General features: G+C 41.7%; 1 pseudogene; it reads right to left on the bottom strand.

Annotated features, from left to right (window-relative positions):
* LOC100996723 (uncharacterized) overlaps positions 1-14,044 on the bottom strand; it is a 123,106-nt pseudogene that overhangs the window by 34,639 nt on the left and 74,423 nt on the right.

Raw genomic sequence — 14,044 nt, 5'->3', positions numbered from 1 at the left:
TTTTCCCAAATGAAACTGTAGCCACTAACTCCCCATTCCCTCCTCCCCACAACCCCTGGCAACCATAGTTCCACTTTCTGTCTTCATTATTTGACTACTCTAGGTACTTCATTTAAGTGAAATAATAAATATTTGTCCTTTAGGGACTGACTTTACTTAGCATGACATCTTTAAGGTTCACTCATGTTACAGCACATGTCAGAGTTTCATACCTTTCTAAGGCTAAATAATATCCAGTGTCTATATAGCCCACATTTTGTTTATCCACTCATTTGTCAATGAACACTTGAGTTGCTTCCACCTGTTGGCTACTGTAAACAATGCTCCTATGAACACAGAAATACAAATATCTATTTGAGTTCCTGTTTTCATTTATTTTGTGTTATACCCAGAGTAGAATTGCTGGATTATACGGTAAGTCTATGTTTAATTTTTTGAGAAACTCCATACTGGTTTTCACAGCACCTGCACCATTTCACATTCTTTCTAGCAATGTGCAAGGGTTCCAATTTCTCCACATCTTTACTAGTATTTGTTATTTTCTGGGTTGTTTGATTTTTAGTATAATAGCCATCCTAATGAGTGTGAAGTTTAAAAAAATATTTAACCAAAATCATAAATATTGGTTACAAATATTTAATGGATGGATTCCCTCTATTTCTGCCAACTTTCATTCCCTGAAAGAAGAAATAGGTAAGCATGACCTCACGAACCTCAGAAGGCTGAGAATGGGGAATTGGCACACACAGTGTGCGTAGACACAGACACACATGGACCATGTTCATACTAGGCTTCCAGAGAACCATTTAAAAATAGTTTGGCTAATGTAATCTTGTCTGTCTCTTATGTTCCTCCTTTCCCATCATCCACATTTCTTAAAGTTCGTGTAAGTAAAACATAGGAGAAAAAAACATAGCCACTAATTAAATAAGGCATCCAACTGTAAAAGAAGAGCAAACTCTGCTACATATAAGAAGACAAGCATTAATTCTGGCAACAGCAGCCACACAGCCACTTTAGACAATAACCTGAGCAGGTGCATGCTTTCTAGTATGTGTCTCCAGCTATGCAGGATAGAAATCACAATCCTTTCTATTTATCTAACGTCTAATACACTAAAACATGTTTACCCATGGGGGAGAAGAGCACGACAGGAATTGATGACTCTAATTTAGGAAACTAAGGTTCACAGAAGTTAAGTGACTTGGCCAAGATCATGTAGCTAGAAAAGGCAGGTTAAGAATTCAGGTTTCCTTAGAGTTCAAAACTTTTATCACAACATTTTTGATAACCCCCCAAGATACTCATCCTTCTCTAATAGCCTTCCTTTGGTTCAAGTCCAGCTTCCTAAATCCTACCGCCTGATGGAGTTCCTGAGCTTCCTTGTAAGTCTGCAGGTATATTGTTCCTCATCATGTTGCCCAAAGCCTAAAGAAATCAGGCTAGGACCAAAGAAAATCAGTCAATGAGCCAAAAAGAAATTTAATCAACCCAGCCTTTCTTATTTATTTTCTTTGAATGAACATTTGTATCTGAGAATGCCAAGGTAAATTTGATGCAATAGGGACACTTGGATTATATTATGTTATTTACACACAAGCAAACAACAATTGAGAATTGAGACAAATAGGACAAATGGTCCCAAGTCCACTATTGAGGAAAAAGAAACTGATTTGGAATAAAAAATAGTCCAGCATGAATGTGTCAGTAATTAAGACTTATCCGGATAAGTTTGCCGTCTCTCAATTTGTCACAATAATGGCAAATATTTATTGAGAGCTTACTATGTGATAGGCATTATGCTGAGTTCAGCTAATTGACTCATTTCATCCTCCTCTAGACCCTGTAAGATAGGTGTTATTACTGCCCTTGCTTTAGCTCAGAGAAATTATGGTATTTTTCCCAACACAAATAGTAAGTAGAAAAATCAAGATTTCACCCCAGGTCTCGCCAATTTATAGCTCTTAGCCGTTATGCCCAGCAATAACAGAATAGTAAAAACAATGACAATTTGGTAGGCAAGTAAAATCAGTAGGCTGTTTACCATAGCTATAGAAGTATGCTATGCATAAACCTCAAAGATTGCGCAGGAAAAGTATCATCCAATCTCAAAGATGAGAAAACCAAAGAAGTTTCAATCTCAAAGAAGTCAGGCAGCTTAAGGGTCATAAAACAACGCAACACAACTCTCTCAACTCATATCTAAGGGCTAAGTCCACTTTAACCTTCCAATATCATTACATCATATTTAAACATTGACTCTATCTGGTCAAGGACGACAACATTTTATTTCTCCTGACCCTTTTGCTATCAGATCTGGCCTTGTCAGTTTTTCAATTTCATTCTTAGAATGGAAACTTAATTCACACAAGTTGAACAAGTAGTCATCAGGGGGCAAAACCCAGTGGATGATGGTTTTGTGTGCTGTTTGGAGACTGGGTGTTTACCACACAGCAGTGGATTTCATAAATTCCAGGGTCAGACAAGATTCCAGTAGCGACACACTTGACTAATATGAGAAAATGCAGGATTAGGCAATCAACAATGAGGAAGTCAGCCAAGTTGCCACCCAAAAATTACTTACCACAGCAGCTGCAGTCCAGAAATGCTAACAAGCCAGTCTCCCTAGGAGTGGGCCATACTCAGCTGTGGACCACTCACAACATTTTCTCACTTTATTTTGCTTCAGAGTCAGTGTACTGCAATGATTTCTCCTTTGCTTGCTTTATATGTTTAAAATTGTCTTCCCTAAAAGCTGAACTTAAAATTAATGTTTGCTACCAAAAGGGGGTAGCAGTGCCTGGTCATGTAGGCATATGTCCCACTCTGTCGGTACAGAGGGTAAGCAGCCTCTTCCTTTTTAAAAAATTTATTATGATGATTTACAAAAATTGAAGCTTACAGGATAAACACTCAACAAAAAAGTAGCCAGTCTCAAGAAACCAATTTTTATGTATGAATTAATATTATTTTATTAATCCATGGCCAGGATGATTCTTAAGATTATTTCTTAATTCTCTGAACAGCTTAAAAGAGAGAAACTCCTTCTTTTTTATTTACTTGCTTTGAGGTTGATACTCTTAGGTTTTTAACATAACTCTCTAGCTTTGACAACTCCTCTTATAATTTAAAATCCTTATAGCTTCCATTTACAAGTAAGGATTATATCTATTTTAGTCTCCTCAATCAGCTACCTAGGAGAAGACTTGCCACTTGGAAAGAGAAAGATAGCACCCACTCTCCAGTTCTCTTCTCCCAAAGTTGCCCGTATTTCCCTTCCCTGAAGCCAATCAAATACTTTATTGTTTCTCGCTAAGAGTAATTTTTCACTCTTAAGTACAAACAGCTCAACAAAAATTCCCGGTAGCATAAATATGCACATCAATAAAATAATTACTACTCACAATAGACTTTCCATTACATATGTTTCACAAGCATTGGTTTTCTTAAAAAGAACCACGCATACAGCACTCAAATTATTGCAGATTCTAACTCAGTAGAGTTTGATTTAATGTTTTTACAATATTTTTTTTAAAGAAGTGTCCTTCCAACGCTAAAGAAAAAAATCAGAATCAAGAAAATTCTGTTTCTTAGCAACAGAAAAATCAAACTTCTGTTACTAAGTTTGGTAACAGAACAGTACTCTAAATTATCCTCTGAACCACCTGATTTACCATGTGATGCTGGGCACATTGCTGCTAATTAATCTTCCTAATCTCGTGGGATCACAATATGAATAACAAGAATGAACATAAGACACATCTGTGGGAATTATGAGGGGGAGATTATAAAGAGTCAAACCTTGTCCCCATATTTAAATTTTATAACTATAACTACTAGTAGAAATATAACTACTACCCTCTCATATATATGTGATGTTATTAAGTTTATAAAGTGTTTTGATATGTTTCTTATTTCATCTTCATGGCTGCTATTTATTCATAGAAAAATAATTCTCAGTATCTGTAGCATTATTGTTAATGTCAATCCTATAGAGGCTGGAACAGGCTCAGAGAGGCTAAGTAACTTGCCTAACTAAGTCTCCTTGTTGACAATAGGTCTTAATGCAGTGTTTTCCGAATCCCTCGTTCTTACATCAAAACAGAACTGTGGCTGGGTGTGGTGGCTCATGCCTGTAATCCCAGCAATTTAGGAGGCCAAGGTGGGAAGATCACTTGAGCCCAGGAATTTGAGACCAGCCTGGGCAACATAGTGAGTGAGACCTCAATCTCTGCCAAAAAAAAAAAAAAAAAAAATACATACACACACACACACACACACACACACATATATATATAAATAATTAGCCAGGTGTGGTGGCACACCTGTGGTCCCAGCTACTTGGGAGGCTGGGGTGGGAGGATCATTTGAGCCCAGGAGGTCAAGGCTGCAGTGAGTCGTGACGGTGCCACTGCACTCTAGCCTGGGTGACAGAGCGAGACCCTGTCTCAAAAAATAAAATAAACCAGAACGGCTCTAGTTCCTATCAATCACTCATCATGACATAGTGTGGTAAACTAATTTCAACTCTGAATGATTGATAATGGCTTTATGTGTTCTGTTTCCCAAGTAATAAGAACATTTTAGCACAAGCCTTTAGCGCTTTTCAAATAATCATAGCCAAATGAGAAAATTAATATGACAGGCAGATTGAACAAACATTTGGTGAGAAGGAAGAGGAGGGGATACAGTAGTTTGAGATCCCTCAAATCATATGATGCAGTAGCTGCCTGACAACTCTGCTAACACGTAAGACTAGATAGAGACAGGGCCATATCTACTTCCTGTATGGGACCCATGGCAATACTAGAGTCTAGCAAAAGGGTTGTCCTCTCTGCATGTGACAACAGGCTGTGTTCCACTCCCCCCACATACACCTTGTGCAGCTCCTATAATCTCATTTATCACACTTCTCCAGGTGAGAAATGGTGCCTTCTCACACCCCACCCAAAGTTGTTTCCTAAAGATCTTTCGCTAGGGCAGAGCAGAGAGTGAGACCAAATGATTCAGACAGCCATCTGATTCAGCTTTAAAAAAAAAAAAATCCTGGTGGGGCGCAGTGGCTCACGCCTGTAATCCCAGTACTTTGGGAGGCTGAGGCGGGTGGATCGCCTGAGGTCAGGAGTTTGAGACCAGCCTGGCCAACATGGTAAAACCCCGCCTCTATTAAAAATACAAAAATTAGCCAGGTGTGGTAGCAGGCGTCTGTAGTCCCAGCTACTCCAGAGAATCGCTTGAACCCAGGAGGCGGAGGTTGCAGTGAGCTGAGATCGTGCCACTGCACTCTAGCCTGGGCGACAGAGTGAGACTCTGTCTCAGAACAACAACAACAACAACAAAATCCTTTCCCTCAAATTACCTAAGAAATTGTCCTTTCCTTCTTTGCCCTGAAGACAGTTAATGGGGAAAGTTCCTCCCTCTGCACAGTGAATACATCCATCCACTATTCCTACCCTAACCCTAAGGCAAAACCTCCCACTCATCCTCCGTCTCTCGCCATCTCTCTGTTACCAACCCTCACTTGGCAATATCCTTCTTGACACGTGGCAGCTCCAATGAGGCACACTCATTACATAGCCACGTAAAAGATAAAAGGTGAATCTGGACCAACTTCTGGAAAATTTGGACTTAAAACATGGAAATGCAGGAGAGACAGGAAATAGAGTTAAATCCCCCAGATTTAGCTATACACATTAATTGAATTAACTAAATAATCATTTGGGTCTCATAGACACCAGCTATTTCCCTGATCCAAGATGTTATCTAGCAGCCTGTATCGCTTCCCAGTCATCCATCCTCTTGACAGGACAGAGCACACATAGAAAATGGTATTTGTATAGTCCTCTGGGGTAAACAGTTGGAGAGTTAGAATCTCTGATAAGGTCAGAGGCAACCAGTCCCCGGTCACTTGGGCCACTTCAGGTCCTGCTTGTCCAGACACAGAGAGGGCTGAGGAAACCAATATTGTGGTGACCAGCTACGAGGCTTAATCCTCATAACCCATAGCCCAATGTCCTCTTATCAAGGTGCTGTCCTATCTCACCCACAGCTCAGCCAATCCAGTAGGTCTTCCTTCCCCACCCTGATCACTGACCCATCAATCAAGATAGCCCTCTCATCCAAGGAAGAGGCCATTTCCCCTCCCACTCCACCCAGGCCAACTGCTATCCCACAGGTTACTCTCTTCTTCATTTTAAGGCAAGCTATTCCAAAGACTAAAAATGCCTAAGATTCTGTCCTAAAAGCTTATCTGCATAGTCATCTTCAAAAGCAAACATGAATTTCTCAAGGAACGGAAACACCCTTAGCCCCTGCCCTTTTCTCCATAGCATCATTCTCTGCCCCACCAAGCCGGAGCTAGGAGGGCACTTTCTCTAGGAGAGGTATGACCTGGAGATGATCTGCTTCAGAGCCACCTCAGGGATCTTGCTTAAAAATGCATATTTTCCCAGGCAAAGTGGCTCATGCCTATAATACCAACAACAGTGGAGGCTGAGGTGGGAGGATCTAAAGGCCAGGAGTTTGAGACCAGCCTGGACAACATAGTGCCACCCCTTTGGTACGAATTTTTTTTTTTTTTTTTGAGACAGACTCTTGCTCTGTCACCTAGGCTGGAGTGTAGCGGCACAATCCCGTCTCACCGCAACCTCCGCCTCCTGGGTTCAAGCAATTCTCCTGCCTCAGCCTCCCAAGTAGCTTGGACTACAGGCATATGCCACCACACCCGCTAATTTTTGTACTTTTTAAGTAGAGATGGAGTTTCACCATGTTGGCCAGGCTGGTCTCGATCTCCTGACCTCAAGCCTTCTGTCTTCCTTGGCTTCCCAAAGTGCTGGGATTACAGGCATGAGCCACTGTGCCCTGCCAATTTTTTTTGTTTTTAATTATCTGGGCCTGGTGTCCTGTGCCTGTGGTCCCAGCTGCTCAGGAGGCTGAGCCAGAAGGCATCACTTGAGCCCAAGAGTTGGTGGCTGCAGTGCTATGATGGTGACACTGCACTCCAGCCTGAGCAACAGGGCAAGACCTGTTTCTAAAATAAATAAATTTTAAAAATGCAAATATCCACCCCAGCCCCACCCTCTCCCCCCACCTTCCCCCACATTACTACATCGGAATCCCTAGGGTGAGGCATGGAATCTACATTTTAAACCAGCTCCCAAGGTGATTGTTCCGCACAGTTCCACGTCAGTGTTTGAGAGCGGCTCTGATTTATTCCAGTCCTCTTTCTTTACAGAGAAGGAAAGCAGAAAGCAGGCACCAGAGAGGTGAAATGAGCTTGTCCAAGGTCACAGGTTGTTAAGGTGACCAGAGCTGGACGAAACCCCACCTCTCTCGCTGACTAGCACAGCGCCAGCTAGGAAGAGCCTAGAATAGCGACCAACTGGCAGGCCAAACCGTCCCCTGCCCCTGCCCCTGCCTCGGAGAAGCGGGCCCCTGCACTCACCCGCTTGTAGATGTCCTCCCGGCTGGCCTCATACTTCTGTTGCATGCGCTCCTCCAGGAAGTAGATGAGCAGCTTGAGGCTGAAGTTCTCCTTCTTCAGGTCATTGAGGTGCTGGGACAGAGTGCGATATCCATTAGACATGATGGGCAACCCATGGGGAGGAGCGTGCCCGATTGCCCCCTCAACCCAGGAACATGGTGCAGCTGCACCGCAGCATGAAGCCAGCCGGCTGGGACGCTGCTGAGGCTGCGGACCGAGAGGCTGGGGCTATGGCGACATGGCCCCTATTGCTGGAGCTCTCTCCGGGACTCGGGACTGGGCTCACTGCTCTGGGTGCTGGAGCGCAGCACACTTTCCTTTTTTACCTCAGGGAGATATTTGCGGAATCCCTGACAGAGGAACATGCTGCGTGAACTCAGACACAAGTGGTGTAACCCGACTCCAAGCCAGGACTCTGCTGTCACCCTCCTGGAGCCTCCCAGGCCCAACTGTAGGCAGTTAACAGCTTCTCGGAAAAGAGAGACTGACCCCCAAGAGCTTCCAGGAAAGGGGGAGGGGAGATATTCAAGGTGACAGTGGGTTTGCAAAGAAGAGAAGGAAATAGAGGGTGGGGAGGGGGTATTTAAATGACTTGTGGCTGATTTGGACTATAAGACCAAAAGGAGTGTGGCCAGAAGCAAGAAATAAGGTTGCTATAGAAAAGACCATGTACATAAAATGGCCCACAAAGGTAACCGCATGTCAAATATCCCCTTTCTGTCCAGTGCAAATCTTAAAGAGCTTCTAACCAGAGGAGTCTCAATTGCCTTTGATAATCCAGAGCTCACTTCTAATGAGTTCCTTTGCAGTTTTCAGCCCCAAGCTTTTTGAGCTCTGAGGCAGTTCAACTAATAGCCTTTATTGCCATGAGCCTTCCCCCGAAACACACCATAGCTACCCGCAAAGAAAGAGCAAATCTTCTAGCTCAGCGGAATCTTTGCAGACTCTATTTACCAGTTACAAAGCTCAGAAAGAGGCAGGGTCAAGGTATCCTCCCTCCATGGAAGAAGGGATGGGCAGAAGAGAGTGTGGGAGGATGACAGAGAGGGAGCCGTCATCCTGGAGCACAAAGATTTCAGGCAGTCACTGGTTCTTAACTCTGGCACCTGCCAAGTGGAGCCGGGCACTCATCACCAGATCTTGCTCCTAAAGTAATTTAAGATCCTTGAGTGACAGCTGCAACATTAGCAGGAAGTATTATTTATACCACATTACATTGAAGGTGATGGGAGACAACCCCAGAGCACAGATAACAAACACGGGTTCTTTGTGGCAATAATATTAGGTTGAAAAAATATATATTAACATTCAAGATAAAGGAAACTACAAAATTTACACTTAATTCAAGCCCTCATTTCCTCCCCAACCTACCTGCTTTTCATTCTTCCAATTCCTTCTCAAACCTTCATAATCATTCCGGTCAACAACTCCTGAGTACTCACCAGGTAGGACATTGGGCATGAGGGATATATAGATCAAGAATGTCCCAACCCTCAAAGAGCTACGTGGCCATACAGCTGGCCATGATATGTTAAGATATGTGTTTTACATTATGATCCTCCAAACCTGTGTTTTTCAACTTTTATATGTTACGTTGCCATCTAGTACATATGCATACACTCTTAACTGAAGTAAATGTTTCAAAAAGTAATTGTCACCATCACTATGTGTGATGTCCTCTGATATTTCCTATTTCTTTTTCTGCCAGTGACCCACCCGACGGATTTCATGACCCACTAATAAGTTTCAGCCTGAGTTTAAAAAGCGTTGACTCTGGGGGAGCCCGTAAGAAAGAGTAGTCAGTTCTTACTGGGGTGATCAGAGAAAGCTTCATTAGGAGTTGAATTTGCACTTTGCCTTGAAAAATAAAAAATGTTTGAGTGGATAAAGTGGCCTCAGGAGGACATAATTAGAGTGAAGCATTCTCCCAAATAGATTTAGATTATAAATAGGCAAAATAGGCAAGCCCAAATATTTACCATTTGAAAAAAAAAAAACTACACATTTAAAATCCATTTAACTATTTTCACTAAATCTGAATTCTTAGAATTTGAGAATGCCAACTAGGCTTAGTTAGAGACAGTGAAGAAAAAAGTCTAAGTTAAAACAACTCAAAATATCCTTTTCCATTCCCAGTTCTCTTACTAAATAGCTATGTTATAGACCATTTCTCTAGAAGCCTAACTGTCCTCACTTAAAAAATGAAATGGCTTTAAAAATTGGTGATTTTTTTTTTTTTTTGAGACAGAGTCTTGCTCTGTTGCCTAGGCTGGAGTGCAGTGGTGCAATCTCAACTCACTGCAACCTCTGCCTCCCGGGTTCAAGCCATTCTCCTGCTTCAGCCTCCTGAGTAGCTGGGACTACAGGTGCCCGCCACCGCGCCCGGCTAATTTTTCATTGTTTTAGTAGAGACAGGGTTTCACAGCGTTAGCCAGGATGGTCTCGATCTCCTGACCTTGAGATCCGCCCGCCTTGGCCTCCCAAAGTGCTGGGATTACAGGCATGAGCCACCGCGTCTGGCCAAAATTAGTGATTTTTAAGGCCCTTTCCTGGTCTAAGCTCTTCAAGGTGATAACCCAGTTAATATCACCTCCATTTTGCTCAAGGGGAGCCAGGCTGCCAGAGTTTAGATAAGTGTTTAATCATGCTTTGGCTGTCTACTTAGATTCCTTTATCAGGTAAAATAATTTCATAAAAGTTTTACCGGAAGTAAAACTGTGTATGAATCCAGGGTATTCTTATGCATCCTAGATTTCTGTTGGACATTTATGCTTATTTCCTCCATGATATCTTGTTCTTCTATCTCTCTGGATCCTTTTCTGTGTTTTTTGCCAGCTCCTGAAAGTGGGTATTTAAATGATGGTAAGTCCTTAGCCTTCTACTTTTTTTTCTCTTCACATTTTTATCCATGGAGGTTTTATCCACTTTTAGGGCTATACTTTCACCTTCGAAACAATTCCCAAATCTCCAACCGAGTCTTCTCACCCAAGATCTAGCCGTACATATTCAACTCTTGGCTTAGATCATTCAACTTGAGTGTTCCCAAATTCCACCCAAGCAAAGCCTTTCCTCTTACCCTAGCCTGGAAAGACTTCTTCCTCTTTTGAACTCTAAGGCAGATATTAACATTCAACAAGTGTTCATATGCTGCCTTATGACGTGGCTTTTGTTATCTTCAAGGGTTATTTACATCTTTTAGAGTTATGCGACTTTTTGTGTGTTTGATCTTTCCAACTAGTCTGAAGCTGCCCAAGGAAAAAGTCAATGACTAACTAATACATCTTCATAAACTCCTACAGCTTCCATAACAACCTGAGACCTCTCCAACAGCATTCATCCCATTGTGCTGTCACAGTCTGTTTACGATGACCTCAACCTGGCTAGAGTGTTTTGAGAGCTGACAAGGCATATTTTGTGTCCTTGTATTCTTGTTGCATAGTACTCAGGAAGCACTCCCTAAATATCTGTGGAATCAATGAACAGGAAAATATTCCATAAACATTGTACGTTTTGCTTTGTTATATATGGGCTGGCTCACCTGTATTATTCTCATAGATTTCCAATAATATGAAAAAAGTTTGTTTTAATAGTCCTAAATAAACTATATTTGGTAGAACACTTATTCTAGAATACGTAGAAAAATGACGTTTTGTTCACTTACATTTCTAAGTTTACATGCCCACCCTGATCTTTTCCCTGAACTCCAATTGATATCTGACTGTCTAGTAGAAATCTCTGCTTGAATTTAGACATCACATACTTGTGATATCTAAAACTGAACTCCTGATCTTTCCCAGTAAACATGCTCCTCCCTCACTACACCTTTTTTCAATTTGTAACAACTCAATATTTTCAGATTTTTGAGCCCAAACCTTTGAATCATTTCTTGATTCATTCTCTCTCCTACATATCATCTGTCTGTAAATCTTACTATGTATATTATACATTATAGTATATATATTAATAACATATATGGTAGTATAATATATATGTTGTAGCTGTTGTATTATGTATATAATATATAATACTATATTATATATACTATTATACTACTATATATATATTTTATATATATGTTATACTACCACTACTGCCACTGGTATTTCTACCACCCTGACCCACAGTACTGCCATCTTTTCCTTACATGATCTGAATAGCCCCTTAACTGGTGTTCCTGCTCCCACTCTTGTTCCCTTGTAGTCTATTCTCAGCACAGCAGCCACAGTGACCCTTTCAAAATACGTCAGATTACTCCTCTGCTGGAGAGCCCCCTGGCTTCCCATCTAACTTAGAGTGAAAGGTGATGTCCCTTCACCAGACTGCAAGGCCTGAGGCCCTACACCCTCTTCTTGCCTCTCCTATTACCTCCTCTACTTCTTCCTACCACTCTCTCCCTGTTCTCTGCTGTAGCTACACTGTTTCTCTTTGTTATTTCTCAAAAACAGGAAGCAAGAGAAGCTTTCTTTTCCGAGGCCTTTGAACTTGTTGACCCTTCTGCCTGGCTGCCCTTTCTCTAGGGAGGTGCACGATTCTCTCCTCACCTTCTTCATCTTTGATTGAATGTCACCTTCTTGGTGAAGTGAATACTCTTTAGGCACCCCATGCCTCATCCCAGCTCTCCGAATCCCCCTTCATTGTTTTTTATTCCGTAGCACTATCACCTTCTAAAATACATTTTCTTATTTATTTTGTTTCTTGTCTGTCTCTCCCCACCAGCATGTAAACTTCCTGAGAAAAGTGGGATGTTTTCTTAGTTTGTTCACTGCTGTGTCACCAGTGCCCAGAACGGTGCCTGATACATAGCTGGTGCTCAATAAATATTTGTTGAATTAAAGAATGGATGAGTAATTAACCTGCTGATTTATTTCTCATTGGAGTAATACAACTTAATCGATACACAAGATTATGTAGATGTTTTAGGATAAAAAGCATACCTAATAGCATTCCTCCTTATAAAAAGATTATAAGTAAAATAAATTATTCTAACAGACTCATTTTAATACACCATGCAGAATCTGGACTTTCTACAACAGTTCTGAACAAATATGCAATCGTATATGACAAATTATAAAGGACAATATGAACGGTACAAATAGTAAAAACTGGGCCAGGCACGGTGGCTTATGCCTGTAATCCCAGCACTTTGGGAGGCCCAGGTGAGCAGATCGCATGAGGTCAGGAGTTCAAGACCAGCCCGGTCAACATGGTGAAACTCCGTCTCTACTAAAAATACAAAAATTAGCCGGGCGTGGTGGCATGTGCCTGTAGTCCCAGCTACTCAGGTGGCTGAGGCATGATGATTGCTTGAACCTGGAAAGTAGAGGTTGCAGTGAGCGGAGATCATGCCACTGCACTCCAGCCTGGGTGACAGAGCAAGACTCCGTCTCAGAAAAAAAAAAAGTAAAAACTATAAAAATTAGGAAGGAGAGGTGGCCAGAGAAGGTACCACAGAGAATTGGCACTTTAGCTTGTCTCAAAGGATGAGTTGAGCTTGGATAGGCAGTGGGGAGAACACAAGGCAGTCCAGGCAGGTGGAACATAAGCGAAAGGGCAGTGTGCCCACCAGGCCAAAGCAAAGGGCACATACTGTCCTGAAATAGGCCACAGAGATGAGGGGAAATAAAAAGCCGTCTCAAGGAGATCTTGAAAGCCAGGGTGAGAAGCCTGGAGTTTGCCCCTCCAGGATCCTGGCTCTCAATCTGGATAAGAGTGAGGGGAAGGGAAGTGGAGGTGGGGAGGAGGGCAGTGGGGGTGGGGAGGGCCAGGAACTGCTGACTGGGAAGATTATTTTCTTTGTGTATTGCTTAGGTTTCGTTTTACTTATTTGTTTTCTTGCAGCTTTAACAAACATCAGCGCTGCATGTGGAAACTTGGAAAAGAAAAAAAAAGCTTTAACAAACAAAAACACACATACCTGAGATGCACACGGCAACCTACTAGCTCATGGCAAACAGGCCTATATGTTGATAACCTCTGCATTGCTTAGGAAATAAAACACTGCAGATTCTTGAGCAAGGGGAAGTGCTTCTATCTTTGTTCTTCCTTTTTCTCCTAGTACATATAACATCTTTACTCTGGTCTCAGAATGTTTCTTCCAAACCTTAATGGCTCTCCCCTTCTTTTTCCTTAATTTCTTCATTCCACCCCTGGAATAACGTTCTAGTCCAGACTAGAAATACAACGTAAATAAAGACTCAATCAATGCCAACAGTAGGAGGAGGATTACCACCCAGCTGTTGCCTGTCATGCCCCATTAACACAACCAACTGTCAAGTCTGCCTTTAAAAAACCCAGCTTGACATTTGCTTCATCATATTCAGACCCCCCAGCTAGCTCATATAATGTATGTACTTGAAAACATATTAATTGTTTACCAATCTTTCTCCTAAAAATAAAGCTTCACTAACAAAAAATGATTAATCTTCTTAATGGACACATTCTTTTCAAATATAATCAAACTTCCACAATTTTAACTGTACTAATTTGATATCTGTGGATAATTCTTACCTTTACCTTCCTTGAAAATAAAAATATTTTAAAAATAAGTTAATATGGCAAATA

This window comes from Homo sapiens, chromosome 1, assembly GCF_000001405.40.
Source record: "Homo sapiens chromosome 1, GRCh38.p14 Primary Assembly".
Lineage (NCBI taxonomy): Eukaryota > Metazoa > Chordata > Mammalia > Primates > Hominidae > Homo > Homo sapiens.
Note: the sequence above shows the minus strand (reverse complement) of the source record. Positions and strands in the feature narration are given on the sequence as shown.